General features: G+C 50.7%; 1 protein-coding gene across 17 annotated transcripts in view, besides 1 other annotated feature; it reads right to left on the reverse strand.

Annotated features, from left to right (window-relative positions):
• The window catches only part of PSPC1 (paraspeckle component 1), a 111,741-nt gene extending 104,923 nt beyond the window's left edge, over window positions 1–6,818 (reverse strand). For 16 of the 17 annotated variants that reach the window (XR_007063689.1, XR_007063688.1, NR_003272.4 and 13 more), the window contains exon 1: window positions 6,259–6,818. Coding sequence is in view for 9 of the 17 variants with exons in the window: in XM_047430435.1 (XP_047286391.1) it covers window positions 6,259–6,630 (372 nt within the window). In the remaining 8 variants the exon portion in view is untranslated. The remainder of the gene's footprint in view (window positions 1–6,258) is intronic. The other variant, NM_001042414.4, reaches the window with a different exon arrangement.
• Window positions 6,750–6,829: an enhancer, noted in NCBI's record as "active region_7409". NCBI's record gives its function as "activates an Ori minimal core promoter by ATAC-STARR-seq in GM12878 lymphoblastoid cells {active_cell/tissue: GM12878}" and the evidence as "EXISTENCE:reporter gene assay evidence [ECO:0000049][PMID:35858748]".

The following is a 16,093-nucleotide window of genomic DNA, read 5'->3' on the forward strand; positions in this document are numbered from 1 at the left end:
AGGGGTTTGAGTTAAACAGACATATACATTTGTCAAAATTCACAAACCAGTGGCTAGGCATGGTGGCTCACACTTGTCATCCTAACACTTTGGGAAGCTGAGGAGGAGGGATCATGTAAGCCCAGGAGTTTGAGACCTGCCTGGGCAACATAATGAGAGAGACCTTGTCTCTACAAAAAATAAACAAAATTAGCTGGGTGTGGTGGTGTGTGCCTGCGGTCCCAGCAACCTGAGGGGCTGAGGTGTGAGGATCACTTCAGCCCCGGAAGTGGAGGCTAGAGTGAGCCATGATCATGCCACTGCACTCTAGTCTGGGCACTCTGTCTCAAGAGAAAAAACAAAAATCACCAACCAGTACACTTAAAATGTGTACCCTTTACTATATGCAAATTTTTTTTTTTTTGAGATGGAGTCTCACTCTGTCACCCAGGCTGGAGTGCAGCTGCGCAATCTCACTGCAAGCTCCGCCTCCTGGGTTCACGCCATTCTCCTGCCTCAGCCTCCCGGGTAGCTGGGACTACAGGTGCCTGCAACCACAATTGGCTAATTTTTTGTATTTTTAGTAGAGACGAGGTTTCACTGTGTTAGCCAGGATGGTCTCGATCTCCTGACCTCATGATACGCCTGCCTCGGCCTCCCAAAGTTCTGGGATTACAGGCGTGAGCCACCGCGCCCGGCCTACTATATGTAAATTTTTAAAACCCTAAAAAATAATATGCCGGGCATGGTGGCTCATGCCTGTAATCCCAGCACTTTGGGAGGCCGAGACAGGTGGATCACCTGAGGTCAGGAGTTCAAGACCAGCCTGGCCAACATGGTGAAACCCTATCTCTACTAAAAATACAAAAATCAGCCTGGGCTGGTGTCATGCCTGTAATTCCAGCTATTCAGGAGGCTGAGGAGTGAGAATCGCTTGAACCTGGGGAGGCAAGGCTGCAGTGAGCCCAGTGTGCCACTGCACTCCAGCCTGGGTGACAGCGAGGCTCCATCTAAAAAAAAAAAAAAAAAAAGAGGCCAGGCACAGTGGCTCACACCTGTACACCTGTAATCCCAGCACTTTGGGAGGCTGAGGCGGGTGGATCACCTGAGGTCAGGAGTTCGAGACCAGCCTGGCCAACATGGTGAAACCCCATCTCTACTAAAAATACAAAAATTAGCCGGGCATGAAGGCGGGCGCCTGTAATTCCAGCTACTCCAGAGGCTGAGGTAGGAGAATCGCTTTAGTCCAGGAGGCGGGGGTTGCAGTGAGCCAAGATCACACCGCTGCACTCCAGCCTGGGCGACACAGCAAGACCTCAGCTCAAAAAAAAAAAAAAAAAAAAAAGATAACTTTTACATAAAAATTTTCACCAAATGGCGAGCTGTCTCTGATGTCCAAAAAATAAATAAATGCATTTATAATGTTCAAAATGTAATGATTATTTAACCTGAATTTTAAGGAAATTTCCATATTTCATTATTATTAATAGTTTGCGAATATTTACCCTTCTCTTGAAGCCACTTACATGTTGAAGTGTTTGCCCTAAAAAATACAGTCTCACCAGGCACAGTGGCTCACACCTGTAATCCCAGCACTTTGGGAGGCCAAGGCAGGCGGATCACAAGGTGAGGAGTTTCAGACCAGCCTGACCAGCATGATGAAACCCCATCTCTACTAAAAATACAAAAATTAGCCAGGCCTGGTGGCACACACCTGTAGTCCCAGCTACTCAGGAGGCTGAGGCAGGAGAATCGCTTGAACCAGGGAGGCAGAGGTTGCAGTGAGTCGAGATCGCGCTACTGCACTCCAGCCTGGGCGACAGAGTGAGACTCCCTCTCAAAAAAACAGTCCCTTGGCTGGGCGCCGTGGCTCACCCCTGAAATCCAAGAACTTTGGGAGGCCAAGGCGGGCGGATCACGAGGTCAATAGGTCAAGACCATCCTGGCCAACATGGTGAAACCCCGTCTCTACTAAAAATACAAAAATTAGCTGGGCGTGGTTGCATGCGCCTGTAGTCCCAGCTACTCCAGAGGCTGAGGCAGGAGAATCGCTTGAACCCAGGAGGTGGAGGTTGCAGTGAACCAAGATCCCGCCACTGCACTCCAACGTGGTGACAGAGCAAGATTCCGTCTCAAAAAAAAAAAATTACACTATCTTAAAGGTTTTAGAAGATTAATTTTTTAAAAAAGAAAAAAATTAATAAAAATACCGTACCATGTAATTACAATTTTCTCTACATATTAAGACCTCTCCCTCTCCCCCTCCCCCTCCCCCTCCCCCTCCCCCTCCCTCTCCCTCTCCCCACGGTCTCCCTCTCATGCGGAGCCGAAGCTGGACTGTACTGCTGCCATCTCGGCTCACTGCAACCTCCCTGCCTGATTCTCCTGCCTCAGTCTGCCGAATGCCTGCAATTGCAGGCACGCGCCGCCACGCCTGACTGGTTTTGGTGGAGACGGGGTTTCGCTGTGTTGGCCGGGCCGGTCTCCAGCCCCTAACCGCGAGTGATCCGCCAACCTCGGCCTCCCGAGGTGCCGGGATTGCAGACGGAGTCTCGTTCACTCAGTGCTCAATGGTGCCCAGGCTGGAGTGCAGTGGCGTGATCTCGGCTCGCTACAACCTACACCTCCCAGCCGCCTGCCTTGGCCTCCCAAAGTGCCGAGATTGCAGCCTCTGCCCGGCCGCCACCCCGTCTGGGAAGTGAGGAGTGTCTCTGCCTGGCCGCCCATCGTCTGGGATGTGAGGAGCCCCTCTGCCTGGCTGCCCAGTCTGGAAAGTGAGGAGCATCTCCGCCCGGCCGCCATCCCATCTAGGAAGTGAGGAGCGCCTCTTCCCAGCCGCCATCACATTTAGGAAGTGAGGAGCGTCTCTGCCCGGCCGCCCATCGTCTGAGATGTGGGGAGCGCCTCTGCCCCGCTGCCCCATCTGGGATGTGAGGAGCGCCTCTGCCCGGCCGAGACCCCGTCTGGGAGGTGAGGAGCGTCTCTGCCCGGCCGCCCCGTCTGAGAAGTGAGGAGACCCTCTGCCTGGCAACCGCCCCGTCTGAGAAGTGAGGAGCCCCTCCGCCCGGCAGCTGCCCCGTCTGAGAAGTGAGGAGCCTCTCCGCCCGGCAGCCACCCCATCTGGGAAGTGAGGAGCGTCTCCGCCCGGCAGCCACCCCGTCCGGGAGGGAGGTGGGGGGGGTCAGCCCCCCGCCCGGCCAGCCGCCCCATCCGGGAGGGACGTGGGGGGTCAGCCCCCCCGCCCGGCCAGCCGTGCCGTCCGGGAGGGAGGTGGGGGGGTCAGCCCCCCGCCCGGCCAGCCGCCCCGTCCGGGAGGTGAGGGGCGCCTCTGCCCGGCCGCCCCTACTGGGAAGTGAGGAGCCCCTCAGCCCGGCCAGCCACCCCGTCCGGGAGGGAGATGGGGGGGTCAGCCCCCCCACCCGGCCAGCCGCCCCGTCCCGGAGGGAGGTGGGGGGGTCAGCCCTCCGCCCGGCCAGCCGCCCCGTCTGGGAGGTGAGGGGCGCCTCTGCCCGGCCGCCCCTACTGGGAAGTGAGGAGCCCCTCTGCCCGGCCAGCCGCCCCGTCCGGGAGGGAGGTGGGGGGGTCAGCCCCCCGCCCGGCCAGCCACCCTGTCTGGGAGGGAGGTGGGGGGGGGTCAGCCCTCCGCCCAGCCAGCCGGCCCGTCTGGGAGGTGAGGGGCGCCTCTGCCCGGCCGCCCCTACTGGGAAGTGAGGAGCCCCTCTGCCCGGCCAGCCGCCCCATCCGGGAGGGAGGTGGGGGGGTCGGCCCCCCGCCCGGCCAGCCGCCCCGTCCGGGAGGGAGGTGGGGGTGTCGGCCCCCCGCCCGGCCAGCCGCCCCGTCCGGGAGGGAGGTGGGGGGGTCGGCCCCCCGCCCGGCCAGCCGCCCCGTCCGGGAGGGAGGTGGGGGGGGTCAGCCCCCCTGCCCGGCCAGCCGCCCCGTCCGGGAGGTGAGGGGCGCCTCTGCCCGGCCGCCCCTACTGGGAAGTGAGGAGCCCCTCTGCCCGGCCAGCCGCCCCGTCCGGGAGGGAGGTGGGGGGATCAGCCCCCCGCCCGGCCAGCCGCCCCGTCCGGGAGGGAGGTGGGGGGGGTCAGCCCCCCCGCCCGGCCAGCCACCCCGTCCGGGAGGTGAGGGGCGCCTCTGCCCGGCCGCCCCTACTGGGAAGTGAGGAGCCCCTCTGCCTGGCCACCACCCCGTCTGGGAGGTGTGCCCAACAGCTCATTGAGAACGGGCCAGGATGACAATGGCGGCTTTGTGGAATAGAAAGGCGGGAAAGGTGGGGAAAAGATTGAGAAATCGGATGGTTGCCGTGTCTGTGTAGAAAGAAGTAGACATGGGAGACTTTTCATTTTGTTCTGCACTAAGAAAAATTCCTCTGCCTTGGGAATCCTGTTGATCTGACCTTACCCCCAACCCTGTGCTCTCTGAAACATGTGCTGTGTCCACTCAGGGTTAAATGGATTAAGGGCGGTGCAAGATGTGCTTTGTTAAACAGATGCTTGAAGGCAGCATGCTCGTTAAGAGTCATCACCAATCCCTAATCTCAAGTAATCAGGGACACAAACACTGCGGAAGGCCGCAGGGTCCTCTGCCTAGGAAAACCAGAGACCTTTGTTCACTTGTTTATCTGCTGACCTTCCCTCCACTATTGTCCCATGACCCTGCCAAATCCCCCTCTGTGAGAAACACCCAAGAATTATCAATAAAAAAATAAATTAAAAAGATTTTGTATCGTCCAGACAGAGAACCCAATTTTGAAAATCAAAGTTCCAGGCCGGACACAGTGGCTCACCCTGTAATCCCAGCACTTTGGGAGGCCAAGGCGGGAGGATCGTTTGAGCCCAGGAATTCGAAAGCAACCTGGACAACATGGCGAAACACCGCCTCTACAAAAAATACAAAAATTAGGCAGGCTTGGGGGTGCGTGACTGTAGTCCCCGTCCCAGCTACTCGGGAGGCTGAGGTGGGAGAACTTCTTGAGCCCAGGAACTGAGATCGCGCCACTGCACTCTAGCCTGGGTGATAGAGCGAGACCCAGTCTCAAAAAAAAAAAAAAAAAAGGCGTAAACCTTAGCAATTTTTGTTTTGTTTTGAGACGGGATCTCGCTCTGTCGCCCAGGCTGGAGTGCAGTGACGTGATCTCAGCTCACTGCAGCCTCTGCCTCAGCCTCCCAAGTAACTGGGACTACAGGCGCGCACCACCACGCCCAGCTAATTTTTGTATTTTTAGTAGAGATGGAGTTTCGCCATGTTGGCCAGGCTTGTTCAAATTTTTTTTAAATATAAAGGAATCATAATTTTTGCATAAATTATTGGAAAACTTTTCAAAGTTTAGATTAAAAGAGAGTAAGCTATATTACTCTGATACTGGGATATGTATCAGTAATTTATGAAGTAGTACTGTGTATCAACTATTCTCCCCCCTATAAAAACGTGAAACTCTCCAGGATGTTTGGTAGAAAAACACTATATTAGATACATACAATTAAACACTGTCTCATTACTGCAGATTAAACGGTGTTACTTGAGTACAGAGTTTGGGCACCTAAGCAGTTTGAGGTAAATAGCAGGCTGCACTGAGGTGAGAAATAAAGTGGCAGGCCAAGGCAGGAGGATCGCTCGTGCTCAGGAGTTCGAGACCAGCCTGGGCAACATAGCGAGACCCCATTTCTATTAAAATAAATAAATTTAATTTAAAAAGAAATAAAGTGGTCTACCCTTAAACGCATATAGGTGTGGTTGAAGCCAAGGATGGGATGTTAATAATTGTTTAAGAAGCAAGTCTCCTGGACAGACCCTCACGACCAGTGATACGTCTGGTCCGACTTAAGCTTCCTTTCCAAATGTACATCCAATTCGTTTTTTATGGCACGATTTTTGCCTTGAAGAATTCTCACCCCAAAACGCTGCCCGCCCCTGTCCCCGGACCCTTTCGGTACCCGGGGCAACGGGGAACCCGGGAGCGCTCGCTACCTGGACAGGGTGCACCATGCCCGATCCAGCGCAGGGCAGCAGGCCTGCAGCCACCGCAAAGCACGATCGGCGCACGGCAGAAAACGGCGGCCACTGTGAGCGCAGGAAATCCCGGGACCGTGAACTCGAAACCAAAGGCGCCGAGCTGGGGAAGCGGCCAACCCCGCACAGAGGAATCGATGAGGCCGAGCGGCGCCACGGTTGCCACAGGTTGAGACAGCGTCCTAGGACGAGGCTGGCCTCAGCCCCACGACCCCGCGGCCACCCCGACAGTCCTTTTGTTCCCTCGCGCGGGCGCCTGACACTCACCAAGCGGATGAAGCCGAAGCCACGGTCCCGGTTGATGAAGACTTCGCTGGGCTCGCCATAGCGTTCGAAGAGCCTCTTGAAGTCCTCCTCCGTGATGTCGGTGGGCAGATTTCCCACGAAGAGGCGGCAGCGCTGCGTGTACGTCTTCTCGCCCGGCTTGAGGAAACTCTTGATGTCGATAGTGAACCCCATCTCCTCGTCCGGGTGGTCCTCTGGAGGCGCGGGCGCGGGCGGTGCCGGCTCCCCGGCAAGAGCGAGCGCCATGGCTGCCGCGGCCGCCGGCTCGCTCTCGCCCACCGCGGACTCCAGGGCGCGAAGGCGGGCCGGGTTTTTCTCAATGCGCACTTGCTTCAGGTTTCCTCTTAACATCATCTTACTGAGTTCGCCTCGGACACCGGATACAGGCCTAGATTTATAGACAGTGTGTCTATATATATGTATACGTCTCTACATAAACCTATGCCAACAAAATATCGACAATCAAGAGACCGCTAGGTAGGCGAGTCGGCAACCCGTCCTCCCCCAACTCACGCCCGCTGCAGCTGCACATTCAAAATGGCGCTGCCACAAACTGCAGTTAGAAGAAGAGACGCCGGTGCAAGTCCCACCCCTCCGCCAAAGCCGGCGCCGGAACGACGCGCCTGCGCACTCGCGGCACCAACGGACCGTTGACTGACCGCGCATGCGCATAACGCTGCGCGTGCAATCGACAAATCTCCTAGGAGGGTGAAGACGTCCTTTCCCATCCTGCTAAAATATCAAAACTGTTGTTGGCTGTACTCTTGGGACAAATTATGTGATGTGTGCAGCAGTGTGTGAAAATACAATGACTTGAGTAAACATCCTTACCCTTTTAGATATCAAGCTCAATTTTGTTTTGTTTTGTTTTGTTTTGTTTTGTTTTGTTTTGTTTTTTGAGACGGAGTCTCCCTCTGTCGCCCAGACTGGAGTGCAATGGCGCGATCTCGGCTCACTGCAACCTCCGCCTTCTGGGTTCAAGCAATTCTCCTGCCTCAGCCTCCTGAGTAGCTGAGATTACAGGTGCGCACCACCACGCCTGGCTAATTTTTTTGTATTTTTAGTAGAGACGGGTTCACCATGTTGGTAAGGCTGGTCTCAAACTCCTGACCTTGTGATCCACCCGCCTCGGACTCCCAAAGTGTTGGGATTACAGGCGTGAGCCGCCGCGCCCGGCCATATCAAGCTCAATTTTCAATGATTGTGGAAAAATAAAAACTTGCATATTTTGGATGTAGCATTCAATAACAAGATACCTCCCAGTAATTTTTAAAAATCTTTATTTCTGTTTCAAGAGCAAGGTTTTTATATTTCCTAGTTAAACAATACAATTCTATAAAATAACTGTGCTGTTGATTATTGGCCTCAGAGGACTCCGTGAAATTGCTTATAAAATTAGTATAATCAGGCCATGAGCTCTTATGGGCCATAGTCTTATGACAAGGGTCAACAAACTTTTTCTGTAAAGGGCCAGATAGCCAGTATTTCAGATTTGGAGGCCACATTCTCTAACAACTACTCAACTCTATGCTCCTGGCACATGGTGACTCCTTAATGAATGTTGAAAAGAAATGAACTCAGTCACTATGCAAAACAGTTCAGCAGTATCTCATGAAGCTTGACATTTGCTTACTTTACAATAGCAATCCCATTTCTAAGTATTTACCCAAGTGAAATGAAAACTTGTGTTCCCACAAAAATCTGTATGCAAATGTTTACAGGGGCTTTATTTGTCCTCAAAACAAAAACAAAAGAAACAATTCAAATGTCCTTCCACTGGTGAATGGATAAACAGTGGTACGTCCACATAACAGGATACTACTCAGCAATAAAAAGGAATAAACTACTGATACAAGCAACACCATGAACTGATACAAGCAATGCCCTGACTCAAAAGGTTACAAACTGTGTATATAACATTCTGGAAAAGGCAAAACTATTGCTGCAGAACACAGATTGGTGGTTGCCAGGGACTGGGATGTGGAGGGCAGTTAACCACATGGTAACACTCGGAAGCTTTTGGAATGATGGAACTAAATCTTGATTGTGGTGATGACTACACAATTGTATGCGTTTGTCAAAACTAAGTCTAACTGTGCACTAAAAGGGTGAATGTTGGCCGGGCTCAGTGACTCACACCTGTAATCCCACCACTTTGGAGGCCAAGGCAGGCGGACCAACTGAGGTCAGGAGTTGGAGACCAGCCTGGCTAACATGGTGAAACCCCGTTTCTCCTAAAATTACAAAAAATTAACCAGGCATGTTGGTGCAAGCCTGTAGTCCCAGCTATTCAGGAGGCAGAGGCAGGAGAATCGCTTGAACTCGGAAGGCGGAGGTTGCAGTGAGCTGAATGGTGCCATTTCACTCCAGCTTGGGCAACAAGAGACAAAAAAAAAGGGTGAATGTTACTGTACTTAAGTTATACTTTGAACAAACATTTTTTTAACTACCCAAAAGAATAAAAATAAAACACAATCAACACTAATCTCTATTTACCATAGTCCTCAGTCACCACCCAAATCCTTTTTTTTTTTTTTTTTGAGACGGAGTTTCATTCTTGCCCAGGCTGGAGTGTAGTGGCACAATCTCGGCTCACTGCAACCTCTGCCTCCCGGGTTCAAGTGATTCTCCTGCCTCAGCCTCCCAAGTAGCTGGGATTACAGGCGCCTGCCACCACGCCCAGCTAATTTTTTATATCTTTAGTAGAGACAGGATTTCGACATGTTGGGCAAGCTGGTCTGGAACTCCTAACCTCAGGTGATCCGCCCGCCTTGGCCTCCGAAAGTGCTGAGATTACAGGCGTGAGCAACCGTGCCCAGCCGTCACCACCCAAATTTGAATCCCCCAGATTCTAATACACATCCAACTCTGTACAGTCCACAATCTGACCCAGTTTCCCCCATCCCTCCCAGGTGCTCCAAAACCTTCTATTGTACTGAGTCCTTGGAAATTCACTCTCTGTCATCAGCAAAATCATCTGTCCTTAACTTTTTCTCTGATCACTTTCCTGCTTTAACTGGAACATGGTCTTCCTCTGAGGACTGCTTCCCCTGCAGCCCTCTCCAGAAGTGGGTGTGTTCTTATCCTACATCTCATGTGTCATAGGACATAGAATAGAAGCTTCTTGATCCCTTTCAACTTCAAGTCCATTTCCCCTCCTTTCTTTGACAAAAATCCCAACTCCAACAAGGTCATCCCAACTCAAACTCTCACTCTCATGCTCACTAGTCCCTCCCTAGACCACATGTCTCTCCCTGCTCTCCCTGTAATACTATTCTGAACTCTCTTTAAATGCATTACCACAAATAGGCTGGGCACGCTGGCTCATGCCTGTAATCCCAGCACTTTGGGAGGCTGAGGCAGGTGGATAACCTGAGGTCAGGAGTTGGAGACCAGCCTGGCCAACATAGTGAAACCCCGTCTCTACTAAAAATACAAAAAAGGCCGGGTGTGGTGGCTCACGCCTGTAATCCCAGCACTTTGGGAAGCCGAGGCTGGCAGATCACGAGGTCAGGATATTGAGACCATCCCAGCTAACAAGGTGAAAGCCCGTCTCTACTAAAAATACAAAAATTAGCTGGGCGTGGCGGGCACCTGTAATCCCAGCTACTGGGGAGACTGAGGCAGGACAATGGTGTGAACCCAGGAAGTGGAGCTTGCAGTGAGCCGAGATTGCGCCACTGCACTCCAGCCTGGGCGACAGAGCGGGATTCCATCTCAAAAAAAAAAAAAAAAAAAAAAAAAAAAGAGTTTTGGCTGGACTCAGTGGCTCACGCCTGTAATCCCAGCACTTTGGGAGGCCGAGGCAGGTGGGTCACCTGACATTAGAAGTTTGAGACCAGCCTGGCCAACATGGTGAAACCCCGTCTATACTAAAGTTACCAAAAATTAGCCTGGCGTGGTGTCGGGTGCCTGTAATCCCAGCTACTCGAGAGGCTGAGGCATGGGAATCTCCTGAACCCGGGAGGCGGAGGTTGCAGTGAGCTGAGATCATGCCACTGCACTCCAGCCTGGGCAACAGAGCAAGACTCCGTTTAAAAAAAAAAAAAGAGTTTCTGCATTATATGTCTCCAATTGTTCATCATTTATTTTCTTCTCTAGCCACAGTAATGAGTCTTCTGCCCCCACCATTTCATTCTTCTGAACCCTTCTTTGTCATAGTCAGCAACATCCTCCACTTTGCCAAACCCCATATTCAAATCTCAGCTCTTCCTCCAGTCAACCTTTTAGCAGCATTTGACATTTATAGATCTTTGCCTTGGCTTATTCAACTATAAAATGGGCATAATACCTACTTCACAGAGGTATTGTGCATATTAAATGCTTAACTAAGGCTGGGCTCAGTGGGTCATGCCTGTAATTTCAGCACTTTGGGAGGCCAAGGCAGGCAGATCACTTGAGGTCAGGAGTTCAAGACCAGCCTGGCCAATATGGCGAAACCCCATCTCTACTAAAGATACAAAAATTAGCCAGGTGTGGTGGCGGGAGCCTGTAATCCCAGCTGCTCGGGAGGGTGAGGCAGGAGAATCGCTTGAACACTGGAGGTGGAGGTTGCAGTAAGCCAATATCGCACCACTGCCCTCTAGCCTGGGCTTTGCAGTAGCACTCTGTCTCAAATAAATAAATAAATAAACAAACAAATAAATAAATAAATAAATAAATAAATAAATGCTTAATTAAAGTACTTGGCTGGGTGCGGTGGCTCACGCCTGTAATCCCAGCACTTTGGGAGGCCAAGGCAGGCGGACCACAAGATCAGATCGAGACCATCCTAGCTAACACGGTGAAACCCTGTCTCCACTAAAAACATAAAAAATTAGCCGGGCATGGTGACAGGCGCCTGTAGTTCCAGCTACTCGGGAGGCTAAGGCAGGAGAATGGTGTGAACCCAGGAGGCAGAGCTTGCAGTAAGCCGAGATCACGCCACTGCACTCCAGCCTGGGCGACAGAGCAAGACTCTGTCTCAAAAAAAAAAAAAAAGAAAAAGAAAATATTCTGCCATCATAAATATTAGTCAGTGTAGCTGGGCACGGTGGTTCACGCCTGTAATCCCAGCACTTTGGGAGTGGGAGGCGGGTGGATCACTTGAGGTCAGGAGTTCCAGAGCAGCCTGGCCAACATAGTGACACTTCGTCTCTACTAAAAATACAAAAATTAGCCGGGAGTGGTGGTAGGCATCTGTAATCCCAGCTAGTCAGGAGGCTGAGGCACAAGAATCCCTCGAACCAGGGAGGCGGAGGATGCAGTGAGCCAAGATCATGCCACTGTATTCCAGCCTGGGTGACAGAGTGAGACTCCGTCTCAAAATAAATAAATAAATAAATATTAGTCAGTGTTATCATTGATCGCTTTCCTGCCCCCTTCTTGAAACTGTTCTGTCATTACTCCTGTCACACTCTTCTGTGTTATTCCTGCCTCACTGGCTACTTCTCAGTCCCTCTGCCTCTCTCAAGAAACTTGACTCCTGAGAGAGCCAAGAGAACCACAGGCCTCAGCTCTCCTCTCCTCTTCAGCTACACTGATTTCCCAGGTCAGACCTGCACACTAGTGTGCCTCAGATGCATTAGAATTGGTTTTCTAAATCTTGACACTATAGAAATTTTGACCAAGTGATTATTTATTGTAAGGGAATGTTGAGCAGCATCCCTGGCTTCTACCCACTGGATGCCAGTAGCACCCATTCCCAGTGACAACCCAAAATGTGCCAGGCATTATTATTATGATTTTTTCTGAGACGGAGTCTCACTCTGTTGCCCAGGCTGGAGTCCAGTGGCACGATCTCAGTTCACTGCAACTCTGTCTCCCAGGTTCAAGTGATTCTCTTGCCTCAGCCTCCTGAATAGCTGGGATTACAGGCACATGACACCACAGCTGGCTAATTTTTGTATTTTTAGTAGAGACAGGGTTTCACCATGCTGGCCAGGCTGGTCTCAAACTCCTGACCTCAGGTGATCTGCCTGCCTCGGCCTCCCAAAGTGCTGAGATTACAGGTGTGAGCCACCATACCTGTCCTACTACCACCTTTTACAGATGAAAAAACCTAGGACAGGCTGGGTGCGGTGGCTCATGCTTGTAATCCCAGCACTTTGGGAGACCGAGGCAGGTGGACCACGAGGTCAGGAGATCGGGACCATCCTGGCTAACATGGTGAAACCCTGTCTCTACTAAAAATACAAAAAAATTAGCTGGGCGTGGTGGCGGGCGCCCATAGTCTCAGCTACCCCGGAGGCTGAGGCAGGAGAATGGCACGAGTGAACCCGGGAGGCAGAGCTTGCAGTGAGCTGAGCCAGCACCACTGCACTCCAGCCTGGGCGACAGAGCAAGACTCTGTCTCAAAAAAAAAAAAGAAAAAAGAAAAAACCTAGGACAAAGAGATGCTAAGTAACTTGCCAAAGATCACACAATTAATACGAAGTTGAAGGCTGGGTGAGGTGGCTCAAGGCCAGGCGCCTTGGCTCACTCCTGTAATCTCAAAACTTTGGGAGGCTAAGGCTGGGATCATTTGAAGTCAGGAGTTCAAGACCAGCCTGACCAACATGGTGAAACCCCGTCTCTACTAAAAATACAAAAAATTAGCCAGGCAGTAATGGTGTGTGCCTGTAATCCCAGCTACTCGGGAGGCTGAGGCAGGAGAATTGCTTGAGCCTGGGAGGCCAAGGTTGCAGTAAGCTGAGATCACACCAATGCACTCCAGTCTGGGCGACAGAGTGAGACCCTGTCTCATCAAAAAAAAAACACAAAAAAACAAAACAAAAAAAACAGTTGAGCTAGGATGTGAATTGGTGAATTGTTAAACAAAATGTATGGGAAGCAGCCAGGCATGGTGGCTCATGCCTGTAGTCCCAGCACTTTGGGAAGCCAAGACAGGTGGATCACTTGAGGCCAGGAGTTCAAGACCAGCTGGCCAACGTGGTGAAACTCCGTCTCTACTAAAATACAAAAAACAGCTGGGCATGGTGGCAGGCACCTGTAATCCCAGCTACTGGGGAGGCTGAAGCAGGAGAATCGCCTGAAGCCAGGAGGTGGAGGTTGCAGTCAGCCAAGGTCGTGCCACTGCACTCCAGCCTGAGCAACAGAGTGAGACTCAAAAAATAATAATAATAAAAACAAAACAAACGACCCCCCCAAAAAAAACAAAATTAATAATAATAATAAATAATTAAAATAATAAAAACAGAAGCCAGGAAATGTGGCTCTAAAATCACTAGTCTCACCTCTGTTATGAGGCTATAGAAAATAAAATAGGCCAGGCACAGTGGCTCATGCCTGTAATCCCAGCACTTTGGGAGGCTGAGATGGGTGGATCATCTGAGGTCGGGAGTTTGAGACCAGCCTGACCAACATGGAGAAACCCCGTCTCTACTAATAAACTACAAAATAAGCCGGGCATGGTGTCGGGCACCTGTAATCCCAGCCAAGGCAGGAGAATTGCCTGGACCTGAAAGGCAGAGATTGCGGGGAGCCAAGATCGTGCCATTGCACTCCAGCCTGGGCAACAAAAGCAAAACTCCGTCTCAAAAAATAATAATAATAAATAAATAAAATAAAATCAGTAGTCAAAGTTGCCCCCTAGTTACTTTACATGTATACCTGGATGCCGAGCATCTCAAATGTAAAGTGTCCAGACCAAGACTGTGGGTGATCTCTTCACAGACCTTTCTGGACCCAGTCCTTACCATTTCATGAATGGCACTGCTATTCATCCACATCTTCAAACCATCAAACTAGAGGTCTTACTTTACTCCTTTTTTTTTTTTTTTTTTTTTTTTTGAGACAGAGTCTCGCTCTGTCGCCCAGGCTGGAGTGCAGTGGTGCGATCTCAGCTCACTGTAAGCTCCGCCTCCCAGGTTCATGCCATTCTCCTGCCTCAGCCTCCTGAGCAGCTGGGACTACAGGCGCCCGCCACCACACCCGGCTAATTTTTTTTTTATATTTTTAGTAGAGACGGGGTTTCACCGTGTTAGCCAGGATGGTCTCAATCTCCTGACCTTGTGATCCGCCTGCCTCGGCCTCCCAAAGTGCTGGGATTACAGGCTTGAACCACCGCGCCCAGCCTACTCCTTTTCTTACTACAGCAACAATATCCAATCAGCAAATCCTGTTGGCTCTACTTTCAAAATATATCCTGAACACATTCTAAGCCAACTCATCATCATCTAATAACTACTAGCCATTAACTGATAACTACTGAAGTACTCTCCTAATTATCTTCTTGCTTCCCCTCCTGCTCTGCTAACGTCCTTTCTCTTTCTTTTTTATTTTGATTATTTTTATTAATTTTCCCCAGAGAAGTACTAACATCTATTCTCTAGAGAGCAGTGATGTATTTTATCATATTATTATTATCTTTTTAGACAATATCTCCCTGTGTCATTCCAGGCTGGAGTGCAGTGGTACCATCACAGCTCACTGTGCCTCAACTCCCCCAGGCTCAAATGATCCTCCTGCCTCAGCCTCCCAAGTTCCTGGGACTACAAGCATGTGCCACCACATCTGTTTTTTTTTTTTTTTTGAGACGGGGTTTCACTCTTGTTGCCCAAGTTGGAGTGCAATGGCGCAATCTCAGCTCACTGCAACCTCTGCCTCCCAGGTTCAAGCGATTATCCTGCCTCAGCCTCTGGAGTAGCTGGGATTACAGGCATGTGCCACCATGCCTGGCTAATTTTGTATTTTTAGTAGAGATGGGGTTTCTCCATGTCTATCAGGCTGGTCTCGAATTCCCGACCTCAGGTGATCTGCCTACCTCGGCCTCCAAAGTGCTGAGATTACAGGCGTGAGCCACTTTGCCCAGTCCATCTGGCTTATTTTTAATTTTTTTAGTGGTGTGTTTTTTTGTTTTGTTTTGTTTTTTGAGATGGTGTCTTGCTCTTTTGCCCAAGCTGGAGTGCAGTGGCTTGATACCAGCTCACTGCAACATCCACCTCCCGGGTTCAAGTGATTTTCCTGCCTCAGCTTCCAAAGTAGCTGGGATTACAGGCCCGCACCAATATGCCTGGCTAATTTTTTTATATTTTTCGTAGAGATGTGGTTTCACCAGTTGGCCAGGCTGGTCTCAAACTCCTGACATCGTGATCCAACCACCTTGGCCTCCCAAAGTGCTGGAATTACAGGCTTGAGCCACTGCGCCCGGCCTTGTGATGTTGTCTTTACATGTTGCCCAGGCTGGTCTCAAACTCCTAGGCTCAAGCAATCCTCCCACCTCGGCCTCCCAAAAGTGCTGGAATTGCAGGCACAAGCCACTGCACCCAGCTCAGAGATGTATTTTAAATTTAAGTCACACTTTTGCTTTCGGGAAGATCTTGTCAAGACATAATGAGAAAACTGCTTGCTAAAACTACCAAAAAATGCTGGAAAAACTAGAAAAATAAATCCTTTACATGCAGAGCTAAATTCCCAAAAGAATAAGAGAAATACACCCTGGTATAATATGAAATATACTTGGGCTTTGTCCCCACTTCCTGTCATGGAGCTTTATTTTAATTTAATTTAATTTAATGTTATTTATCTATTTATTTTGAGTCTCAGGCTGGAGTGCACTGGCAGGATCATAGTCCACTGCATCCTCAAACTCCTCGTCTCAAAGGGTCCTCCTAGCTCAACCTCACCAAGTGCTGGGATTACAGGCTTGGGTCATGGTACCCTGGCATCACAAAGCCTTTAAAACCTTTGGAACTTCCTGAGGATGGGAGGGTCTTTTGTTATTAATAATGAGCCCCTTTGATAACACCTGAGTTTATGCTAATGCAGAAACTTGAAATAGGGAGCGGGGTACCTTAGGCAGCACTGGCTGGGGCTGGGCTCCAGAAAGATCAAGTGA

The sequence above is a fragment of the Homo sapiens genome, chromosome 13, assembly GCF_000001405.40.
Source record: "Homo sapiens chromosome 13, GRCh38.p14 Primary Assembly".
Lineage (NCBI taxonomy): Eukaryota > Metazoa > Chordata > Mammalia > Primates > Hominidae > Homo > Homo sapiens.